This window comes from Homo sapiens, chromosome 7 (assembly GCF_000001405.40).
Source record: "Homo sapiens chromosome 7, GRCh38.p14 Primary Assembly".
In the NCBI taxonomy this organism is placed as follows: Eukaryota; Metazoa; Chordata; class Mammalia; order Primates; family Hominidae; genus Homo; species Homo sapiens.
The window spans coordinates 99297810-99322013 of NC_000007.14; the positions used below are offsets into that span (position 1 = coordinate 99297810).

A 24204-nucleotide genomic window follows, 5' to 3' on the forward strand; every position below is an offset into this window, starting at 1 on the left:
CATCACCTTGGGGACTGTGGACCCTTGGCCAGGCACTGCACATCTTCTTGGCCAGAAAGACTCATGGTTATATTTCTGGTAGGTTGAAGAGAGCAAGGTGATTCGAATTCAGTTGGAACTGGCTCAGGTTAAAGCTGACATCGACCGAAGAATCCATGAGAAAGAAGAAGAATTTGAGGCTACCAGGTATGGAGCTGGTGGGATGGGAGGCTGACTCTTGGGAAGTGTGATGGAGCAGAGTCCAGAAACCCCAGTCTCTTCCACCTACTAGTCGCGTGACGTTGGGCAATTCAGGTGAACCTTGCTGAACATGTTTCCTCATCTATGAAATGGAAATAAAGACTGTACCTCACACTACCGTGTCTAGTTTATGAACACTTTGTTTTTTGGGTTTTTCTTTTTTGGTTTTTTTGGGGGTTCTTTTTGGTTTTTTTTTTTTTTGAGACAGAATCTTGCTCTGTTGCCTAGGCCACAGTATAGTGGTGCAATCCCAGCTCACTGCAACTTCCGCCTCCTGGTTTCAAGCAATTCTCCTGCCTTAGCCTCCCAAGTAGCTGGGATCACAGGCATGTGCCACTGTGCCCAGCTAATTTTTGTATTTTTACTAGAGACAGGGTTTCACCATGTTGGCCAGGTTGGTCTTGAACTCCTGACCTCAAGTGATCCGCCCACCTCAGCCTCCCAAAGTGCTGGGATTACAGGCATGAGCCATCGTGCCCGGCCTATGAACACTTTAGATGTAGTATTTTAGCCATGATGGTTAATGAAGCAGAGAATCTGTTATGTGGTTACTGGCTGTTTGTATATCTTCGGAGAAAAGTCTGTTCTTTGCCCCTTTCAAAAATTGGATTGCTTCTTTTTATTGTTGAGTTGTAAGAGTTCTTTATATATTTTGAACACTTGACTTATCAGATATGATTTGCAAATATTTTTTCCCATTCTATGGTTGTCTTGTCGCTTTTTTTTTTTAATTATACTTTAAGTTTTAGAGTACATGTGCACATTGTGCAGGTTAGTTACATATGTATACATGTGCCATGCTGGTGCGCTGCACCCACTAACTCGTCATCTAGCATTAGGTAGTCTTGTCACTTTCTTAAAAGTATCCGTTGAAGCATAAAGGTTATTTAATTTTGGCTGGGCGCAGTGGCTCACGCCTGTAATCCTAGCACTTTGGGAGGCTGAGATGGGAGGATCCCTTGAGCTCAGGAGTTTGAGATCAGCCTGGGCAACATAGCAAAACCCCGCTCTACAAAAAAAAAATAAAAAATAAAAATAAAAAAAAAAAATAGCTGGGTGTGGTGGTATGGCCTGTAGTCCCAGTTACTGGGGAGGCTGAGATGGGAAGATCACTTGAGCCCCAGAGTTCAAGGCTGCAGTGAGTTATGATCACACTACTACACCATCACAGAATGTGACGGTTTTTCCATTACAGCCTGAGCCACAGAGTGACTCTAAAACAACAAAATGACCTTCCTTTTATTTCCCCAAAGCATGAAACCCTCATCCCTGTCTTGCACCTTTTTAAGGGTTTGTTTAATTTCATGACATGGTGCCTGTACTCATGCTGATGCTGAGACCTCTTCTCTAGGAAGGCTTAGCACAGACTGAACAGCCAGCCCAGTATGCCAAGGTCTTCTCTGCTTGGACTTACAGGAAGAACCACCAGCGGGCAATCGAGTCCTTGCAGGCCAGCCTAGAGGCAGAGGCCAAGGGCCGGGCAGAGGCACTTCGGCTCAAGAAGAAGATGGAGACGGACCTGAATGAGATGGAAATCCAGCTGGACCACGCCAACAAGAACAACAGCGAACTTGTAAAGACATTGAAAAGGCTGCAACAGCAAATCAAGGTAGCGATCTGGGAGGAGGAGAAATGAGATACAAGGCACACCATCATTGGTTGAGTCTGAAGGCCTAAAGGGGGCTAACTCAATGCATGTCTTCAGCTAGCATAAAGGCATAAGAGAATGTGGGGTGGCTGGCAGTCCAGGGAACAGGAGGCTTGGGGACTATATAAAGAAGAGGCCCTCAACCACCGAAAGTCCAGATTCTGGACAATTGGAAAGATGGACCAAAGGAGGGAAACAGGAAGTTGGGCCCGTCTAGATTTTTATTTTATTTTATTTATTTATTTATTTATTTATTTATTTATTTATTTATTTATTTATTTGATGGAGTTTTGCTCTTGTCACCCAGGCTGGAGTGCAGTGGTGCAATCTCGGCTCACTGTAACCTCTGCCTCCCAGGTTCAAGCAATTCTCCTGCCTCAGCCTCCTGAGTAGCTGGGATTACAGGCACCCACCACCACGCCCAGCTAATTTTTGTATTTTTAATAGAGATGGGGTTTCACCATACTGGCCAGGCTGATCTCCAATGCCTGACCTCAGGTGATCCACCCACCTCAGCCTCCCAAAGTGCTGGGATTACAGGCGTGAGCCACCACGCCCAGCCCTGTCTTGATTTGTAAAATCATTTTTTACTTATTATAAACTATTTCAGACATAGAGAAATGAAGAACACAACAAAACTCATATACCCACTACTTGCTTTAAAAAATAAACACAAACAGAGCTGAAGACCCCTTTACAATCATTCCATTATGAGGCTGGTCTTTACAGTATACATGGCTGGAACCACACATCCAACACTTGCTAACTGGAGATGTGCCCTAACCAGGTACTGTTTTAGGTGTCCAAGAGTGGACAAGACAATGCTGGACACATTTGGTGTTCACATGTAGTCCCAGCTACTCAGGAGGCTGAAGAGAGAGGATTGCTTGACGCCAGGCTTGAGTTCGTGACTGGCCTGGGCATCATAGCGAGACCCCATCTCCACAAAAAATAAAATTAGCCAGGCATGGTGGTGCTCGTGCCTGTAGTTCCAGCTACTCAGGAGCCTGAGGTGGAAGGATCGCTTGAGCCCAGGAGTTGGAGATTGCAGTGAGCTGTGACTACACCACTGCACTCCAACCTGGGTGACAGAGACCCTGTCTCAAAAACAAAACAGAGTGGACAAAACAGACAAACATCCCCAAGCAGACAGCAACAAAAATAAAACTGTATTATTAAAACTGGTGATAAGTCCTATGGAGAAATAAGAGGACAGGCCAGGCGCAGTAGCTCACGCCTGTAATCCCAGCACTTTGGGAGGCCGAGGTGGGCAAATCACTTGAGGTCAGGAGTTTGAGACCAGCCTGAGCAACCTGGCAAAACCCCATCTCTACTAAAAATATAAAAATTAGCCAGGTGTGGTGGCAGGCACCTGTAATCACAGGTACTTGGGAAGGTGAGGCAGGAGAATCACTTGAACCCGGGAGGCGGAGATTGTAGTGGAGCTGAGATCATGCCATTGAACTCCAGCCTAGGGGACAGAGCAAGACTCTGTCTCAAAAAAAAAAAAAAAAAAAAAAAGAGAGAGAGAGAAATAAGAGGACAGAAGAGAGCGGAGCATCAGCCTAGCCAGGATTAGAATATGATTGGCAGAGGTCACTGGGAAGGCCTCCTGGAGAAGGCTGTGCTGGGAACACCAGGTGCTCTATCATCAGGAAAGGTTTGACTTCATGTTGACCTTATGTTAGATAACTTCCTGGGTCCTGGCCCTGCTGGGGCTCCACCATACCATAAACTTCCCAAGACCAGGTCTGTTCCTCACTCTTCTTCTGTGGCCTCCCCGCCTGCCCAGTTTCCTGCTGAACCCAGTCGATAAAGGTCACAGCGCCCTCACGCCTGGCCACCCCCAAGGTGATACCACGGCCCAGTGTATGGGCTGAGGCTGGGTCCCTGTGCCCCCCAGGACCTGCAGGTCCAGATGGACGAGGATGCCAGGCAGCACGAGGAGCTGCGGAAGCAGTACAACCTGCAGGAGCGGCGCTTGAGCCTGCTGCAGACGGAGCTGGAGGAGGTGCGCTCAGCCCTGGAGGGCAGCGAGCGTTCACGCAAGCTGTTGGAGCAGGAAGTGGTGGAGATCACCGAATGGCACAACGAGATCAACATCCAGGTAGGACAGGGCTCCTGGGTCAGTGCCACTCGCACCCACACTCCGGGGGTTAGGGGGTGCTGGGGTGAGGCCGGGATGGTGCCCAAACCACGTGAGCCCCCCTCAAAACTCAGAGGCAGGCAGTGCACCCCACTCAGCAAATCCTCAAAACTCATCTGCAGAGCTTTTTGTAAAATTGTGACTTAAAAGTCCAGGATATAAAATATATCCCAGCCTGGGCCAGGCACTGTGGCTCATGCCTATAATCCCAGCACTTTGGAAGGCTGAGGTGGGCAGATCACCTGAGGTCAGCAGTTCGAGACCAGCTTGGCCAACATGATGAAACCCCGTCTCTACTAAAAATACAAAAATTGGCCAGGTGTGGTGGCACACACCTGTAATCCCAAGTACTCAGGAGGCTGAAGCAGGAGAATTGCTTGAACCCGGGAGGCGGAAGTTGCAGTGAGCCAAGATCATGCCACTGCACTCCAGCCTGGGTGACAGAGTGACCATCTCAAAAAAAAAAAAATATATACACACACACACACACACACACACACACACACACACACACACACACATCCCAACCTGGCCAACATGGTGAAACCCCATCTCTACTAAAAATACAATAATTAGCCATGTGTGGTGATGCATACCATAATCCCAGCTGCTACTTGGGAGGCTGAGGCACAAGAATCACTTGAACCCCAGAGGTCGAGGATGCAGTGACCCAAGATCATGCCACTGCATTCCAGCCTAGGCGACAGAGAGAGACTCTGACTCAAAAATAAAAATAAAATAAAATATATAATCCTGGCCAGGCACAGTGGCTCACGTCTGTAATCCCAGCACTATGGGAGGCAGAGGTGGGAGGACTGCTTGAGGCCAAGAGTTCAAGACCAACCTAGGCAACATAGCCAGACTCTGTCTCTAAAAACATATGAAAAATTAGTTGGGTGTGGTGGTGTGCATCTGTAGTCCCAGGTACTTGGAAGGCTGAGGTGGGAGGATCGCTTGAGCCTAAGAGATTGAGGCCGCAGTGAGCTGTGATTGCACAACTGCATAATCCAGCCTGAGTAACAGAGCAAGATCCTGCCTAAAAAAAAAAAAAAGAAAAAAAAAAGAATGCAGGAGAGGGACCCATACCCCACGCAGAGGGCCCAGGGCCATTTCCTGTTGGGGTCTGGCAAGCATGTCTGGCAGAGGTCATGTTCTTTCCTGGACACAGGAAGGCCCATGCAGACCCCTGGCTCATAGTGATATCTCCATTTCTTCCTCCAGAACCAGAGCCTCCTCGTGGTCAAACGCAAGCTGGAGTCAGATGTCCAGCGCATCTCCAACGAGCATGAGGAGCTCATCAGTGAGTTCCGCTTGACCGAAGAGAGGGCCAAGAAGGCCATGATGGACGTAAGTGCGTGTGCCCCTTGCTGCTAGCAGGCAGGGCCTAGGCGCCTGCTGAGGACCAGGCTGCCTGGGCAGGAAGGCCACCTCCTCCCATCGTGGGCCACTGTGGACCCGAGCATGGTTCCCTGCCAGGGAGAATGTGGCCCTGCTCTGGAGGAGCCCAAGGCTTTTCTAAAAAAGCCACACACGTGAAAGTAAGAAAGAATTACAAGCTCTAGGTGATTATGTGAAAGATTATAGCACAAGGCCCGGGGTCTTGCATCAAAGAAGCCATCAAAGTGGGTTCATCTGGGCAGCCTTTTTGGCAATGAGATGCATTAAAACAGCCTTGGGCCAGGCATGGTGGCTCACGCTTGTAATCCCAGCACTTTGGGAGGCCAAGGCAGCAGGACTGCTTGAGGCCATAAGTTCAAGACCAGCCTGGGCAACATAGCAAGACCCTGTCTCTACTAAAAATGTTAAAAATTAGCCGGGCATCATGGCATGTGCCTGTAGTCCCAGCTACTCAGAAGGCTGAGACAGGAGGATCACCTGAACCCAGGAGTTTGAGGTTGCAGTGAGTCATGATCCCGCCACTGCACTGCAGCCTGGGCGACAGAACAAGACCCTGTCTCAGAACATGAAATAATAACAATAACAATAAAAGCAAACAGCCTTGAGGGAAGGGCTAGTAAAAGGAAGATGGATGAGCCCAGGGACGCAGAGGAGGACATTGGTGGATGAGCCTGGGGACGCAGTGGAGGATGTTGGCAGGATATGCCCCCAAGTGCTCTCAGCCCAGTATCCCTTCGGGTGTTCACACCAGCCTCGAGTGGTGGGTTCTGTTTACTCCCCACTTGGAAGATGAAGGAATACAGATTTTCATCATCAGGCTCCTCTCACTTGATCGAAATCTCAGGAGTTCAGGAACATTGCTGGTCTTACTTGTTGCTACCTCCCAAGAGCACAGGCCCATGTCCGGCCCACGGTAGACCCTCATGAACATTTGTAGAATGAATGTAAGGAGAAAGGGACTGAGAGGGGATAAGCAACATGCTGAAGGTCACTCAGGGCCAGACACAGTCCTGGGTCTTCCAACTCCAGAGGCTGTGCTTTTCTCACCCTCCATGCTGTGCCCCTCATGGAGACAGCAGTCAGTAGGGTTTGGCTTGAGTGTGCCCAGCTGCTGGGAGTCTGTGGGGATGGGAGGCATGAGCTTGGCTCCCCCTCCCCTCTCGGGGGCAAAGGGGAGCATAGAGCACCCCTTCCACCAAACCCCAGCAGCATGTCAGCGGGGCTTCCCTTGTCAACCAGTTGGTTTCCTAGAGACCGGGAGACAAGGCCTCACATCTCTCAAAGGAGCTATGAGCCTGGGTAGCACCCAGCTCCAACCCCTGCTCTTCTTTTCCCCACCTGCAGGCTGCCCGCATGGCAGAAGAACTCCGGCAAGAGCAGGACCACTGCATGCACCTGGAGAAGATCAAGAAGAACTACGAGGTCACCATCAAAGACCTGCAAGCCAAGATGGAGGAGGCCGAGCAGCTGGCTCTGAAAGGCGGCAAGCGAACGATCATGAAGCTGGAGGCCAGGGTAAGGGCGATGCAGGGCTCAGCCAAGGGAGGAATGGGGATCTGGCGGGGCGGGGGGTATGTGTGTGAGATGCCTGTCTTTTGCCAAAAACATGTCCTGCATTTGATGAAGAATCGGGTTATGCAACTGTTAAGAAGAAATTGAAAGGACCAGGTGCAGTGGCTCACGCCCGTAATCCTAATACTTTAGGAGGCCAAGGCGGGAGGATCGCTTGAGGCCAGGAGTTTGAGACCAGCCGGGGCAACATAGTGAGACCTCCATCTCTTAAAAAAAAAATGTTAAATTAGCTGGGTGTGGTGGCACATGCCTGTAGTCCCAGCTACTCAGGAGGCTGAGTTGGGAGGATTGCTTGAGCCCAGGAGGTTGAGGCTACAGTGAGCTATGATAGCACTACTGCACTTCAGCCTGGGTGACAGAGCCAGACCCTGTCTCAGAAAAAAAGAGAAAAGAAGGAAAGAAAGAAAGAAGGAAGGGAGGGAAAGAAAGAGAAAAGGAAATTGAGGGAAGAGCTCTAATTTCTCTCAAGTTCTCCTCTCCTCTTTCCCTCCCTGTCACCTTCCTCCCCAGAATGTCCTTAGCCTCAAGCAGAGCAGTCCCCAATATTCTCCTTGCCTTTTTTTACTAACTGAAAGAAAACAAGCCTTAGTCTTTACCCCATGAAATGCCAGAGCTGGAAGGGCCCAGAAGATTCCATCATTTTGTCTGACTCCCTAACACCCCCATTTCCCAGATGAGGGAATTTGAGGCTCAAGAGAAAGTGTCTGACAATCACAGCATGGCCTATAAAAGCCAGAGCCCACCCAACTCTCCTGTCCAGGGTCCATCCCCTCACCTCTGGGCAGGCAGTGGACACTGCAGCCACAACGCCCCTGTCTGAGGCCACTGAGCTCTGAAGCTCAAAACCACATGTTCCAGGAGGCTGAGGCAGGAGGATCACTTGAGCGCAGGAGGTCAAGGCTGCAGTAAGCCATGATCACGCCACTGCCCTCCAGCCTGGGCAACAGAGCAGGACCCTGTCAGAAAAACAAAAAACAAAACACACACGTTCGCTCAGCCGCATTCCTCTCTTCCTCCCACAGATCAAGGAACTAGAGACAGAGCTGGATGGGGAACAGAAACAGCACGTGGAGACAGTCAAGACACTGTGTAAGAATGAGCGTCGCCTCAAAGAGCTGGTCTTCCAGACAGAGGAGGACCACAAGACCAATCAGCGCATGCAGGCGCTGGTGGAGAAGCTTCAGAACAAGCTGAAGGTCTACAAGAGGCAGATTGAGGAGGCGGTGGGTGTCCATGCGCCTCCCCACTCCTCCTTCCCTCACTCTTGTTTCTCAGTGCGGGTCGCCAGCCTTGCTGGGAATTAACCACAGGGAAAGAAGCAAGCACTGGCCCTAAGATGACTCTGCGAGGCTCATGTCCATGGTGTCTCCTCCTTGGAATCCAGTGGGAGGGAGGACCAGACACTACACACCAGAGATAAGAACTTGTAAAGAGGCCAGGCATGGTGGCTCATGCCTGTAATCCCAGCACTTTGGGAGGTCGAGGTAGGTGGATCACCTGAGGTCAGGAGTTTGAGACCAGCCTGGCCAACATGGTGAAACCCATCTCTACTGAAAATACAAAAATTAGTCAGGCGTGGTGGCGGGCACCTTAATCCCAGCTACTTGGGAGGCTAAGGCAGGAGAATTGCTGGAACCTAGGAGGTGGAGGTTGCAGCGAGCCGAGATCAGACCACTGCACTCCAGCCTGGGCGACAGAGCGAGACTGTCTCTCAAAAAAAAAATTTTTTTTTAATGCACACTTAACCAGAACCAGCCACGTTTATGCCCCGTTTCCCGCCGTGCCTTTGTCACAGGAGGACCAGGCCAACCAGACCTTGGCTCGATACAGGAAGACGGTGCATGAGCTGGATGACGCTGAGGACCGGGCTGGCATGGCAGAGACTGCCCTAAACAAGCTGCGCACCAGACACCGCGTGGCCGGCAAGGGCATCACCTCTGTGGAGATCATCCAGGTGTCCAAGACAGGCACCTCGAAAACCCTTTCTGAGGAGTGAGGCCCTCCGTGTCCTAGGCCACAACTGGTAGGTGTGGACTCCGCTCTGGACGGTCTCGCTCAGAGCGCTCCTTCCCTGCACTGGCTTTGCTGCTAGTATTGGTACTATGTGACCCAGCCATACTCCCCCTGCTCCCCAGCTCCAGTCTTTGTCACACCCAGTCTCATGCAACAGGAACCCCAAAGCTCTTCCCCTCCTTCTTCAGCTGCAAAACTCCTCTAGAGTGTCACAGCCCTCGGGTGGGGTGCTGTTCACCTGTATCACAGGTGCTGGCCGACCTGATGTTCCCCCATCTGCACAGAAGGGCGGTTCCCAAGTGTGATGCCACTTGACACTAGCCTTGGAACCTAGGTGCTTAGTACAGTCACAGGGACGTCCACAAGCTTATGGCAATGTGTGTTATCTTTCGTGTCCCCCACAATATCATTTTTCACTGGAGATTTCATCAATCCTGGTTGAATTCAGGTCTCTAACACTAAGAAAATGATAATTATCATCACAGCTACCATTTCTTGAACACTGAGTGCAGGTGGGATTTTAAGGAAACAATTTAAAGTAGTCTTTATTCCCCTTAATTCAGAACTAATCAAGGACAAAAAATATTGGAGATAAATATATAAAAGTTAAAATAGGCTGGGCACAGTGGCTTGTGCCTGTAAATCCTAGTACTTTCAGAGGCCAAGGGGGAAAATGGTTTAAGCCCGGGAGTTCAAGACCAGCCTGGGCAACACAGTGAAACCCTGTCTCTACAAAAATAAAAAAAAATTATCCAGGCATGGTGGTGCACACCTGTAGTCCCAGTTACTCAGGAGGCTGAGATAGGAGGATCCCTTGAGCCCAGGAGTCTGAGGTTACAATGATCTAGCATTCCAGCCTGGGCAACACAGTGAGGCCCCATCTCAAAGAAAAAAAAGTCAAAATACTAGTTTTATTTATTTATTTGAGAGTCTCACTCTGTCACCAGGCTGGAGTGCAGTGGTGGGATTTCGGCTCACTGCAACCTCCGCCTCCCAGGTTCAAGCAGTTCTCCCAAGTAGCTAGGACTACAGGTGCACACCACCATGCCCAGCTAATTTTTGTATTTTTAGTAGAGACGGGGTTTCACCATGTTGGCCAGGATGGTCTCAGTCTCTTGACCTTGTGATCCACCTGCCTCAGCCTCCCAAAGTGCTGGGATTACAGGCATGAGCCACCATGCCTGACCCAAATACCAGTTTTAATATGCCATAATTCTAGATTGAGGATGGGGCTTTAATGTGTGTCCACCATAGGCATCCTCATACTTTGCCTCAAAATTAAAGATACCTGAAACCCCAACTCTACTAAAAATACAAAATTAGCCAGGCGTGATGGCACACGCCTGTAATCCCAGCTGCTCGGGAGGCTGAGGCACTAGAATTGCTTGAACCCAGGAGGCACGAGTTGCAGTGAGCCAAGATCACGCCACTGCACTCCAGCCTGGGTGACAGAGCGAGGCTCTGTCTAAAAAAAAAAAAAAAAAAAAAAAAAAACCAGAACTGAACAAATGCAGGCTTGATCCCCGGGGAGTAGCCACTATTCCTAGGAGAGGAACAATCAGAACCCATCATCCCTGGGAGTAGATCTAAAAGGAGAGATTAGATGGGGCTCAGCTCTGCCTTCCTGGTTCCTTATTCCAAAAACAAGATCAATCACTCCTTTTCCCATGGACAGAAGCAAAAGGAAAATGAGGGGTAAGGCACAGAATGTGATTCTGGAGGAGTGGATCCCAAAACATGGTCCCGGGACCAGCAGCATCAGTGTCACCTACGACATTCTTAGAAGTGCCTATTCTTAGGCCTGGCTCCAGACCTATGCATCAGCAGCTCTGGGGGTGGGCCCAGCATCTGTGATTTAGCAAGCCCTCCAGGTGACTCAGATGTGTGACTGAGTTTGAGAACCACCCAGATACATGGAGCCAGGGTGTGGAGGTTTCTCCTTTAACAAGAGCCAAGTGCTAAGAAAGAAAAGGCAACTGAAAGGGCTGGGCGCAGTGTCTCACGCCTCTAATCCCAACACTTTGGGAGGCCAAGGTGGGAGGATCACTTGAGGCCAGAAGTTCGAGACCAGCCTGGGCAACATAGCAAGACCCTATCTCTACAAAAAAATGTAAAAAATGAGCGTGGTGGTGGCTAAGTGCATGGAAAATGCTTTTCACTCTCTTTTCTACCCTACAAGGTAGGTATAAATATCCCCGTTTGTCAGGTGAGGAAAATGAGCTTGGAGAAGTTTGGTGACTTGCTCATGGTCACACACACCCTGTGCTATGAAAAGGCAAGTTATCTTTTATTTGAAGTTACTGTGGAGATTGATATGGTTGCCCTCTATGTGGGATTAATCAGGGCAGCAAAAAATCAAAGACTGGTTCGCTTTGGGAGGTGGGGTGGGGCTGAACCCTAAGCACCGACCTCCGTGGCTTCTGGGAATTATATCTGGCCTCACTGAATCAACAGCTTGTTGAATCAGCCCCTAGTGAGGAGGGTAAGTTTCCCTGCTCAGTTACGATTCGCTATCTTTCAGTAATGGTGGTCAGTTTGGGTTTTGGCCAAAAGCGATAACCCCATTGAACTTTGATGTGAAGCTGAGCTTTATCTGACCGTTTGCTTAGGGAGGAGATAAAATATGGGGCACAGAATCTTTTTCTGAATTCTCTAACCCTGAAATAATGGTTAGGTCAGGAAGTTAAGGAAATCAGAAGCTTGTCTCTGCATTAATGTGTTTTACCTTTCAGGCAAAAACCTGAAAGGGATCCCTCCCAGTGAGCTCTGACCTAGGTGGGAACTACTCATGAGGCTTCCTGTACACCCAGACTCAGAAGGCAGTTCAGCTCCTTCCACTAGGAGTCTTAGGCTCCAGGATTAGACATCCTTTAAAGCAGGTCCCCTGCCCTGGTTTGGCTGGACCTGGTACAATTGCTCTGTCACAGCAAGGATCTACTTCCATGCCATCAGGCTGCTATCCTGCCACCGGCACCCAGAGGTGATGAGGCTGTGCCTCTGGGGTCTACTCTCCATGTCCTGATCCATCCATTTTGTTTTTATTTAATAAGCCAGGCATGATGGCAGGTCCTTGTAATCCCAGCTACTCAGGAGGTTGAGGCAGGAGAATTGCTTGAACCTGTGAGGCAGAGGTTGCAGTGAGCCGAGATTGTGCCACTCCAGCCTGGGCAACAAGAGTGAGAGTCCGTCTCCAGAAAAATAAAAAAATAAAAAAAAACTGAAAAGAAAAAAATTAAAAACATAAATATAAAATATTTTAACAGAAATTTAAGAGAATAAATAAAACCGATCCTTCACCAGGCAGAGGAGAGAAGGGAATTCCAGACAGAAGGCCCAACACACACAAAAGTGCAAAGGTGGGATGTGCACAAGGGCACAGGCTGGCTGGAGTAGATGGGCTCAGAGAGCTGCAGCGCGGTGGGGGATGAAGCTAGCAGGGTAGGGTAGGCAGGGGTGAGGCTGTGAATGGCTCTACTGGGTGCAAGTATTCCATAAACTCCATAAGGAAACCTTACTAATTTTAAAAATCCATTTGTGGGATGAGACATGAAGTAGCTTTTCTTTCTTTGGAAGATGGTCACATCACAATAGCAAAACCCCTTGTGACACATCACAGGCAGGCTCTCAGGGAGAGCTCTGTATCCCAGGGCACTGCACTCTGAGCCCACTCAATGACTTGTATGGGCACATTATGCCCAAAGGTGTCTCTAAACCCTCAAAACCTCATGCAGAACAAGCTAGGTATAACTCAACAGTATCCATTACTAGGAAGGAAGCCTTTGCAGAAGCTTCCTAGGCATCCCAGGGAGCTGTCTTTCCAGCAAGACAGGAGCAAAGATGTCAGAGCTCCCAGCTCTGACCCACATGGACTTGCTCACCTTGCTCACCATCTCTCTTTCTCTCTCTTTCCAGGGTAATACAGATCTCAACTGCAGTCCATTCAGAGGGAGAAAATATGAAAATGGAAAACTGGGTCTGTCCTGAGAATGTTTACTATGCAAAAGAAAGTGCAAGCCAGGAAGAGACAGGTGGTGAAGAATAAAGAGCGCTATGGTGGAAAATGAGCTTGAGAATGTAAAACCCGCCATTAGAGGAATGAAAATGAGTGGGGCTTCTCTGGAACGGCAGTAAGCATTTGGATGACAGTAATGATGGATCTGTTTCAGTTGAGTTCCTACATGGTCATGTCAAGGACGGAATATGTAATGTCTGTGACCCGGCTGTTCTCTACAAAGAATTCCTCATGTTGACAATGTTAATGTCCCAATATAGCTTAAATAAAAGAAACATTAAAAAAATAGACCAACTGGAGCTTCTTTGCTTTCTTAGAGTCTTGCTCTGCGGCTCGGGCTGGAGTGCAGTGGCACAATCATGGCTCACTGCAGCCTTGAACTCCTGGGTACAGGCAATCTTCCTGCCTCTGCCTCCAGTACAGTACAGTAGCAGTACCGACGTGCAGCTATGCCAGGCTTTTATTTTTCTAGAGATGGGTTCTCACTATGTTGCCCTGACAGGTCTTGAATTCTTAGGCTCAAGCAATCCTCCCACCTCAGCATCCCAAAGTGTTGGGATTACAGGCATGAGCCACTACACTAGACTTAGAGCTTGTTTTTAAATGGAGAAATTTTCTTTTCCTAAGACTTATCCAAAGGCAATTTTTACCACTGCCATATAAAAAAATTTTGTTGCATCCCTATATACTAATTCACAGGCTTGCTTCTACTGGAAACCATGAAAACAATACAGTCTTGGTGAAGTTCTTTCCAAATTTTGAAAGTCTGTATCAGAGAAATGAAAACAAACTAGGTTTCTTAAAGCCAAGAAAGTTACGGAATCTCCGGAGCAGGTCAAGTCCATCCAAGCTAATGCTCCACATGGCCCCTGCACGTTCCACCTCATCTCCCAGGATGTCCAGACACCAGTGGGTCAGCTCCGTGAGGGCAGGCAGTTAGCTGTTTTGTTCACTACTATATCCTCAGCAACTAGAGACTACCAGGGCTGAAGTGTGCACATAGTAAACACATATAGAGTAAATGAAAGAATGAGCTGCCTCCCAGGGTAGTGTCCTTCCTGACATTGCCAGAAAGTTCTTCCTTCAATCCAGATGAGACCTGCCCCCCGGTGGCATCTGCATGCTGACCTGCTATTTCTTTCTTTTTTTAATTTTTTTGAGACAGTCTCACTCTGTCACCCAGGCTGGAGTGCAATGGCGCGATCTCGGCTCACTGCAACCTCCGCCTCCCGGGTTCAAGCGGTTCTCCTGCCTCAGCCCCCCAAGTAGCTGGGATTACAGGCATGCACCACCATGCCTGGCTAATTTTTGTATTTTTAGTAGAAACGGGGTTTCACCATGTTGGCCAGGCTGAACTCAAACTCCCGACCTCAGGTGATTCCCCCACCTCAGCCACCCAAAGTGCTGGGATTACAGGCATGAGCCACTGGCCCCGGCCGCTGACCTGGTGTTTCTACCCAAAGCCCTACAGAACAACCTTCATGGAAATCAGTTCTCAAAATAGGTCCCTACAATTTTTCTCTTCTTTAGGCTGAACATTCCTGAGTCTGTCAACCCTCCCTCCCGTGGCAGGGTTTCCGTTGTGATCTTCTAATACTCCTCGACCCTTTCCTTTCCTTGCCCTCCTAGTCTTTGGAGAGCTGTGGTGGGGGCAGCGCCATGAGGGAGGGCTCCCTGCCAGTTCCCAGCCCTCAGAACACACTGGCTCTCTGGGAATGGCGTGTCTTCCAGCATTCTGACCTCTCTCCAATCTGTTGGCAGGCAGAAATCACTGTCTGGGGTGGTGGAGAGAGGAACACTACTTCTTTGGTGGGTCCCTCTCCACCTTCACAAAAGGGCACATCACCCCTGTGATAGTTCTGAACTTGGCACTCTCGGCTGGGCAAGGTGGTTCATTCCTGTGATTCCAGAACTTTGGGGGGCCGAGGCAGGAGGATCACTTGAGGCCAGGAATTCAAGACCAACCTGGGCAACATATTGAGACCCTGTCTCTACAAAAAATGTAAAAATTAGCCAACCATGGTGGTGCACGCCTGTAGTCCCGGTTACTTGGGAGCCTGAAGGAGGATCACTTGAGCCCGGGAGGTCGAGGCTGCAGTGAGCTCTGATGGCATCACTGCACTCCAGCCTAGGTGACAAAGCGAGACCCTATCTCAAAAAAATAAACAACTGGGCGTTCTCTAGTCGGAGCCCTGGAGGGAACTTTGGTTCCTTCTATGCAATTGGACCAAATGTGATAACACTGCCCTCTGGTGGCAGGGTCTCTAACTGCTGCGTGTGGATTTCCCGGGAGACACCAAATCACAGAATCTTAGAATTGTGTATTACAAAATTCTAGGGCTGGAAGGGGCATTTAAAGGGCATCTAGACCAATTCTGAAGCAGCTGGGGATTCCCCCCCATAATATCCCTGAAAGAAATGATAATCCAACTTCTACGTGAACCTTCCCAGTGAAAAAAGGCAGCCCATTCCAGTTTTTAGTTTTGTTTTGAGACAAAACAAAACCAAAACCAGGGTCTTACTCTGTTGCCCAGACTGGAGTGCAGTGGTGTGATAGCTCACTGCAGCCTCAATCTCCCAGGTTCAAGGGACCCTCCCATCTCAGCCTCCTAAGTAACTTGGACTACAGGTGCACACCACCACACCCAGCTGATTTTTTTTGTTTTTTGTAGAGATGGGGTCTCACTATGTTGCCCAGACTAGCTTTTAACTCCTGGGCTCATGTGATTCTCCCACCTTGGCATCCCAAAGTGCTGGGATTACAGGTGTGAGCCATTGTGCCCGGCCCCATTCCAGTTTTGACTAATGATCATGGTCAAAAAGTCCCACTTAATATTGAATGAGAATGTATGTCCCTGCATTTTGCCCTTACTTTGCTCCAGCCTTCACCTCTATAATCACATAAGTCAAATCTGTACCCTCTGAAGTCAGACAGATACAGGTTCCACTTTCCCGGCAGTGTGACTTTGCAATTAGACACTTGCCCAGTTTCTCCTAGCATTCCGTAGGACTTCAACACTTGTCCTCCGGCTAGGGATTTGTCATGAAAAGGTCAACCTTGAGTTATGGTTGAATCAAAGGCTAAAAGGGAACCTGTCAGCTATTATAAGGGACTCTTCTTTCCACTTCTTCCTGAGCCCTGGCTTAGGCTAATAAAAAATGTGTTCTGTAGCTTTGCAGTAATACTTCCATAAAACTTCCCTCTACAGATGTTTTTTGTTTGTTTTTGTTTTTTTGAGATGGAGTTTTGCTCTTGTTGCCCAGGCTGGAGTACAATGGCACAATCTCAGCTCACTGCAACCTCCACCTCCCAGGTCCAAGTGATTCTCAAGCCTCAGCCTCCCAAGTAGCTGGGATTACAGGCGCCCACCACCACACCTGGCTAATTTTTGTATTTTTAGTAGAGATTTTTAGAGAGATTTAGTTTCACCATGTTGCCCAGGCTGGTCTTGAACTCCTGATCTCAGGTGACACGCCCGCCTCGGCCTCCCAAAGCGGTGGGATTACAGGTGTGAGCCACTGTGCCTGGCCTACAGATGTTTTTAAAAACCAACTTTAAATATGGCAGCAATAAAGTAACCAGACTAAAGGGAGAAATGCATTATGGGAATTAGGTCTGGTGATCAGAAAGGCTCCCGTAGGAGTAGGTACAGGGTGCTACAGGAGAGGCACTCGGCCCAGTCTTGGAGGATAAAGGAATGTGTCTGGAAGAAGTCATGTCTCTGCTGAAGCTTAAGGTGAGTAGGAGTTAGGCATCCAGGGGAGAGAGGGCTTGTGGGAAGAAGAGTGGGAGAGCAGGAGGAGGTAGGTAGGGTGTGTCAGCTAAGAGTGTGCTTGGCTGCAGGTGGCAGCACACTGAGCCAACAATGGCATACGTGGCAGAGACATTTAACAATCTCACACACACACACACCCCACCCCGCCCCGGCAGATGGTTTCAGAATGAGTGCGGTGTGAAAGCGCCAGGTCTCCACCTTTCCATCCTGCAGCATCCTTGGGCCTGTCAAGGTGATTGCCAACAGCGTTAGGCATCATATCTTCCCCTGCCATGTTTAAGCTAGTAAAAAGATAAGGGCTGGGTGCTGTGGTTCATGCTTGTAATCCCAGCACTTTGGGAGGCTGAGGCGGGCGGATCATGAGGTCAGGAGATCAAGACCATCCTGGCTAATGCGGTGAAACCCCGTCACTACTAAAAATACAAAAAACTAGCCAGGCATGGTGGCGGGTGTCTGTAGTCCCAACTACTCAGGAGGCTGAGGCAGGAGAATGGCATGAACCGAGGAGGCGGAGCTTGCAGTGAGCGGAGAACTTACCATCTCTTTTTTTTTTTTTTTTTTTTTTTTGAGACGGAGTCTCCCTCTGTGCCCAGGCTGGAGTGCAGTGGCACGATCTCGGCTCACTGCAACCTCCACCTCCCGGGTTCACGCCATTCTCCTGCCTCAGCCCCGCCGAGTAGCTGGGACTACAGGCGCCCGCCACCACACCCGGCTAATTTTTTTGTATTTTTAGTAGAGACGGGGTTTCACCGTGTTAGCCAGGATGGTCTCGATCTCCTGACCTTGTGATCCGCCTGCCTCGGCCTCCAAAGTGCTGGGATTACAGGCGTGAGCCACCGTGCCCGGCCTGAACTTGCCATCCTTTTATCAAGGAGTACATTTTTTTCCAGAAGCTCCCCATGAAACGAACTTGTGAGTGTTGATTGGCAGAAATTGATGGCACACGGCCATCCCAAAACCAATTAGTGGCAAGTGGGAATGGGCTTGCTGTATTAGACATGGACCAATCGTGGTTCACTCCCTGGACTTGGGGAGGGCCTAGCTTCCCTGAAAGCCACCAGAACAAAAGTAGGGAAGCCAAGTAGGGAAAGGTGTTGTGTGGGCAGCCAGTGTCTACCACATAGACGACGTGGTCAGAGACAAAGGTGATAGACCACAGAGACCTCTGTGACTTGTTATGGAGTGCAGACTTTATTCTAAGGGTGAAAGAGATGTGTCCGATGGTTTCCTCATGATCCGATTCAGGTCCTGTATATAATGTAGGTGAAGTTGTATCTCACCTACTGCAGCACACTGGAAGATACATGATGTCAACCTAAACTCTGTTCGTGATGTCAACTTTGATCACTTGATTAAGGTGTCCACCTCCATCAAGGAACATTCTAGAAAATAACTGGTGTGGGCTGTTTAAGACTCCCAACTCCAACATTCTAGAAAACAACTGGTGTGGGCTGTTTAAGTCTCCCAACTCCAACTCCCCAGGTGCCGTGGCTCATGCCTGTAATCCCAGCACTTTGGAAAGCTGAGGCGGGCAGATCACGAGGTCAGGAGTTCAAGACCAGCCTGACCAACATGGTGAAACCCCTGTCTCTATTAAAAATACAAAAATTAGCCAGGTGTGGTGGCACACGCCTATAATCCTAGCTACTCAGAAGGCTTGAATCGCTTGAACCCAGGAGGCGGAGGTTGTAGTGAGCCGAGATTGCACCACTGCACTCCAGCCTGGGTGACGGAGCAAGACTTTGTTTCAAAAAAAAAAAAAGACTCCCAATTTCACAAAAGCCAAAAACAAAAAAAATGGCTGAGGACCTTGTCTCTAGTCCCAGCTACTTGGGATACTTGGGAGGCTGAGGCAGGGTCACTTGGGCCCAGGAGTTCAAGGCTGTGGTAGCTATGACTGCACCTGTGAATAGCCACTGCACTCTACCCTGAGCAACACAGCAAGACCCCATCTCAAAAAAAAAAAAAAAGACTGAGGTGAAGAACTGTTCCAGATTAGACTAAAGAAAGATAAGAACTAAGTGCAACAACTGATCTCAGATTGGCTCCAGGATTGCGGGGAAAAAAAAAAAAAAGCTAGAAAGGACATTATTGACCAGGCACAGTGGCTTACACCTGTGATCCCAGCACTTTGGGTGCCTGATGCAGGCAGATCACTTGAGTCCAGGAGTTTGAGACCAGCCTGGGCAACATGGTGAAGTTCCATCTCTACTAAAAATACAAAAATTAACCAGGCATAGTGGCCTGCAACTGTAATCCCAGTTACTCAGGTGGTTGAGGCACGAGAATCGCTTGAACCCTGGAGGCAGAGGTTGCAGTGAGCTGAGATTGCACCACTGCACTCCAGCCTGGGCAACAGAGCAAGACTGTCCGAAAAATGAAAAAAAAAATTTTTTTTAAAGTAAAAAAAGGCATTATTGGCACAAGTGAAATTTGAATATAAACTTATAACTAACATATTAATTTGTTATATTAAGATTTGTAACTAACATATTTATTATTATAGTAAATAACATTGAATTAATGTTAAATGTCCTAAATTTAATTGTATTACAGTTGTAAAAGAGAACTTCCGTGTTCTCCAGAGATACATACTGAAGTATGAGGAGTGAAGAGTCTCATGTCTGTGACTTACAAAATGACTCAACAAATAATTATATCACTATTACTATTACACAGATACACATATTTTATATATATATATATATGAGAGAGAGAGAAAGCAAATGTGACAAAATGTTCACAAGTGGTAAATTTAAGGAAACAGGTATATTGATATTCATTATTCTCACATATTTTGCAACTTTTCTGTAGGTTTGAAAGTTTTTAAGGAAAAAAAGAAATACATAGGAGGTGGAGGTGCTATGACTTGGTAACTAACTTCCTGGGGGCCATTAATCAATCTGTGGTGGATGATGATACCTTGGTCTGAGAGGTAGAGGAGAGCAGAATCTGAGGTGGGGAGCAGAGGCAAACATCAGGTTTGACATCAATTGAACTGAGGTGGGAGGTGATGAGACACCAGGTGGAGACTGTCATGAGGGAGCAGTATGAATTAACAGGGGTCAGGAACAAACTGAGATGCAGATCTGCAGGTTGGCAGTCTATGGGTGGTGGCTGAAGCCAAGAGCTTGTGAGATCACCTAGAGGGCAGGTGTGGATGGGCCCATATTCTTGGGCTCACTTGCACTTAAGATCTGGGTGCAGAAGTAAGAATCAAGCAAGAATGGTTACGCTCATGAGCAAACCAGCTATTTCATTCAGGGTTCCTATAAAAATAACCATTAGACTTGCGATTTTCTACCACTTTAAATCTCCTCCTAGAGACACTCTTGTATTGGTTAACTTCTCTCCAGGTGGGGGATTACGAGGCTTTTGTCAACATCTTCCTTGGGAGCGTGATATGGTAAGAAGCCTACAAATACATTTGTGATATAAGCATGCAAAACAGAGGTACACTATATGCTACAATTAGAACTACGATCCTCCCAGGTTAATTCATTCCTGAAAACAATTCTCAGATCAAATAAGCCCATATGAAGTTATTTTAAATGAGAAAATAGGAATGTATTCCTAGCCTGTGCAGAAACTCCAGTTTCTCCAAATATCACTAAAACCCTCTCAAACATCTATAAAACAATCCTCCAAACATTTCTGCATAATATAAACATTTAAACATGAATTATCTAATTATTTAACACTTAATGAACTCCATGGTGATTACGTTTGCAATAGTACACAATGATATGCACTCTATTGAATGAGAATTAGATATCCTCCCCAACCTGCAACTAACATGTACAGTAAAGCAAACAACAACATAATAGTGAGTTAAAGATAGATAATTAAATGCAACAAGATTTAGCAAACTGAAATGGACAAATGGGATTTTTTTTTTAATGGCTACTTGCCGAATGATTCTGATAATGGAGCACTGGGGCAACAGACAACCCTCCCATTAGTGATAATTAGAAAAGTGGGCAAAATATACAAAATATCTACTCAAAGATAAGAGAGCACTAATGAGGTAGTAAATACCTACCAGGTCAATGTCCAAGAGAACAGAGTATGTAAGAGAGTGAGCCCATCAGCAGGACTGTTTTACCCCAAGGGCTACTTGGTGATTCCAGAACAGGTGGCTGAGAGCCTAAGCAGTACTTGTTTTGTTTTTTTTTGTTTTTTTTTGAGAAGGAGTCTCACTCTGTCGCCCAGGCTGGAGTGCAATGGTGCCATCTCAGCTCACTGCAACCTCCACTTCCCAGGTTCAAGAGATTCTCCTGCCTCAGCCTCTGGAGTAGCTGGAATTACAGGTGTGCGCCACCACGCCCAGCTAATTTTTGTATTTTCAGTAGATACAGGGTTTCACCATGTTGGCCAGGCTGGTCTTGAACTCCTGATCTCAGGTGATCCGCCCACCTCGACCTCCCAAAGTGCTGGGATGACAGGTGTGAGCCACCACATCCAGCCCTAAGCAGTACTTTTGACAGCCTTTCAGGAGTCTGGGGCCCTCCAAGGTTGGGGAGTCTTAGGAAATACCTGTTATACTAGTCAGGATTCTTCAGAGAAACAGAACAAATAGGAGATATTAGATAGAGATATAAAGAGATGGAAAATTGACTCACACAATTATGAAGGCTGGCAAGTCCAAAATCTGCAGAGCCAGTGTCCCAGTTCAAATCTGAAGGCTGGAAGCTTCTGCAGAACCAGAAAAGGCCAATGTTCTAGTTCAAAGGACTCACTTGAACCCAGGGTTTGAGGCTATAGTAGCTATGATCACACCTGTGAATAGCCACTGCACTCCACCCTGGGCAACACAGCAAGACCCCATCTCTAAAAAAAAAAAAAAGAAACACTGAGGTGAAGATCTGTTCCAGATCAGACTAAAGAAACAAAAATTAAGTGCAACAATTGATCTTGGATTGGCTCCAGGATTGAGAAAAAAAAAAGCCATCAGGAAGGAGAATATTCTCTTACTCAGGAGAGGGTCAGCCTTTTGTTCTATTCAAGTCTTCAACTGATTGGATGAGGCCCACCCACATTAGGGAGGCCAATCTGCTTTATTCAATCTACTGATCTAAAAGTCAACCTCACCCAAAAGTATCCTCACAGAAACACCCAGAATCCTGTTTGACCAAATATCTGGGCACCCTGTGGCCTAGTCAAGTTGACACATAAAATGATCCAAGTGTGACATAATAAGAAATATAGGCCGGGCACAGTGGCTCACACCTGTAATCCCAGCACTTTGGGAGGCCAAGGTGGATCACTTGAGGTCAGGCGTTCGAGACCATCCTGGCCGACATGGAGAAATCCCATCTCTACTAAAAATACAAAAAATTAGCTGGGCATGATGACACATGCCTATAGTCCCACCTACTCGGGAGGCTAAGGCAAGAGAATCGCTTGAACCTGGGAGGCGGACGTTGCAATGAGCCGAGATCACGCCACTGCACTCCAGCCTGGGCGACAGAGCGAGACTCCATCTCAAAAAACAAAAAAAGAAATATCTATTTTGTTTCTGACACAGAGCTTTTAAAATTGTTATACTACCCTGTATAACAGGGGTGAGAGGAACATCTTTTTTTTTTTTTTGAGACAGTCTCATTGTATCCCCCAGGCTGGAGTGCAGTGGGGTGATCTCGGCTCACTGCAACCTCTGCATCTCCAGTTCAAGCGATTCTCCTGCCTCAGCTTCCCGAGTAGCTGGGATTACAGGTGCCTGCCACCACGCCAGGCTAATCTTTGTATTTTTAGCAGAGACAGGGTTTTGCCGGGTGAGCCAGGCTAGTCTCGAATGCCTGACCTCAGGTGATCCACCCACCTCAGCCTCCCAAAGTGCCTGGATTACAGGCTGTGAACCACCGTGCCCAGCCTAACCTCTTTTGTTATAATATTTGGTCTTAGCTCCCAGTTCCTCACGTAGGAGCTTTTAAGCCCCTTGGAATCTCTGGAGTGGTAAGTGTCTTTTTGTATGCTAATGAGATGTCTGGTGGATGAGGGTGCTAGATGGTTCCAGAAAGAAACTAATTGCCAGAGGAACCAACTCTGTGATTAGAGGGTAGGAATTTTCAGTCCCACCCCTCCACCTCCAGGGATGAGAGGAGCTGGAGATTTATTTCAATTACCAATGGCCAGTGATTTAATCAATCATGCCTACATTATAGAACATCCATAAAAACCTTAAATGATGAGGTTTGGAGAGCATCTGGGTTAGAGAACACGTGGTGGTGCTGGGAGGGTGGTGTGCCCAGAGGATATGGAAGCTCTGTGTCCCTTCCCACACACCTTGTACTTGTCCATCAGTAACTGAAACATCTTTTGTTATAATATTTGGTCTTAGCTCCCAGTTCCTCACACAGGAGCTTTTAAGACCTTTGCAATCTCTGGAGTGATAAGTGTGTCTCTCTATGCTAATGAAATGACTGGTGGATGAGGGTGCTAGATGGCTCCAGAATGATTTTATTAAAATAATCTAAGCTTGCATAACATGGAAAAATGTGTCGGTAACAAAATGTCTAAGTGGCTCTGGCCTTGAGGAGATTTACAGGTTCATGGGTTACAGATTTCACTTATTAAATTAGGTAAGTAACACAGGGAATTCCCAAGTCTGCTTGTATGATTGTCTTACAAGTATGGTATTTGCGATAATATGCTATTTATACACACCACCTGAGACTACCCTGTGCCCCTAGACATCCCGTGACTGGTCCCATCTCTGTCCTATGGAAATGAACTGAGTGAGCAGTGGAAAAATCCACATGCACTTTTCAGTTCACCTGTATTGAACTCTACAAAATCCTTTCCATAGGAAGTTTTCCTCACTGGGAACATACCCAGCAATTAGGACAATATCTAAAGCATAAGGATTATTGTTAACTAATAACACACAATATGCATTAATAGTTTTGTCCTTTTGTTTGTTTATAGCTTTTATTGGCATTGATTCAGTATTTCCAACAGTTTTTTTGGTGACTAGATGGCAGGCATTATTGGAAGATCTGCAGTAATTGTTCACCATTTCAGCTGTTGGCACAACAAGCAAGAAACAATCTTCTTACTCTCCAACTCCACATTCCAGTTATTAAATCAAGCTCTCCTGAGAAGGAAATCCTTACGCCTTTACAAACATGTAACCTTCCTAAACTATGATGGATTATGTTCCTGATGTGTCTATATAAGCCCCACCTTCCATTCTCAACTAGCAGTAACCTCTGTGTCCTTTGACATCCAAATTGTTTTCTTTCATTCATTTGCACTTTCATTCAACGAATGTTAACCAGGACCTTCCAGATTCAAGGTATTGTGCATTTCCTTTTATTTAAAATTATTTTAGCAGCATCCCTGGTCTAAAAATAAGATAAAATATTTTGTGGACTGGTCATATCCTAATCTCTAAGTT

The 24204-nt window shown here is 47.5% G+C and overlaps 1 protein-coding gene and 1 long non-coding RNA gene across 6 annotated transcripts in view, besides 2 other annotated features; one reads left to right on the plus strand and one right to left on the minus strand.

The window, feature by feature from the left end:
* MYH16 (myosin heavy chain 16) overlaps nt 1-13319 on the plus strand; it is a 72300-nt gene extending 58981 nt beyond the window's left edge. Inside the window, exons 34-41 of one of the 2 annotated variants that reach the window (NR_002147.3) lie at nt 83-186; nt 1657-1849; nt 3792-3995; nt 5256-5381; nt 6777-6947; nt 8027-8227; nt 8800-9027; nt 12930-13319. Coding sequence is in view for 1 of the 2 variants with exons in the window: in NM_001431356.1 (NP_001418285.1) it covers nt 83-186; nt 1657-1849; nt 3792-3995; nt 5256-5381; nt 6777-6947; nt 8027-8227; nt 8800-9000 (1200 nt within the window). In the remaining variant the exon portion in view is untranslated. The remainder of the gene's footprint in view (nt 1-82; nt 187-1656; nt 1850-3791; nt 3996-5255; nt 5382-6776; nt 6948-8026; nt 8228-8799; nt 9028-12929) is intronic. The other variant, NM_001431356.1, reaches the window with a different exon arrangement.
* Nucleotides 1-24204, minus strand: part of LOC105375421 (uncharacterized) — a 47593-nt gene that overhangs the window by 19594 nt on the left and 3795 nt on the right. For 3 of the 4 annotated variants that reach the window (XR_927798.3, XR_927797.4, XR_007060449.1), the window contains exon 2: nt 21428-21635. This is a non-coding gene — a long non-coding RNA (uncharacterized LOC105375421). The remainder of the gene's footprint in view (nt 1-21427; nt 21636-24204) is intronic. The other variant, XR_007060450.1, reaches the window with a different exon arrangement.
* Nucleotides 16794-16883: a silencer, noted in NCBI's record as "silent region_18403". NCBI's record gives its function as "represses an Ori minimal core promoter by ATAC-STARR-seq in GM12878 lymphoblastoid cells {active_cell/tissue: GM12878}" and the evidence as "EXISTENCE:reporter gene assay evidence [ECO:0000049][PMID:35858748]".
* Nucleotides 16914-16993: a silencer, noted in NCBI's record as "silent region_18404". NCBI's record gives its function as "represses an Ori minimal core promoter by ATAC-STARR-seq in GM12878 lymphoblastoid cells {active_cell/tissue: GM12878}" and the evidence as "EXISTENCE:reporter gene assay evidence [ECO:0000049][PMID:35858748]".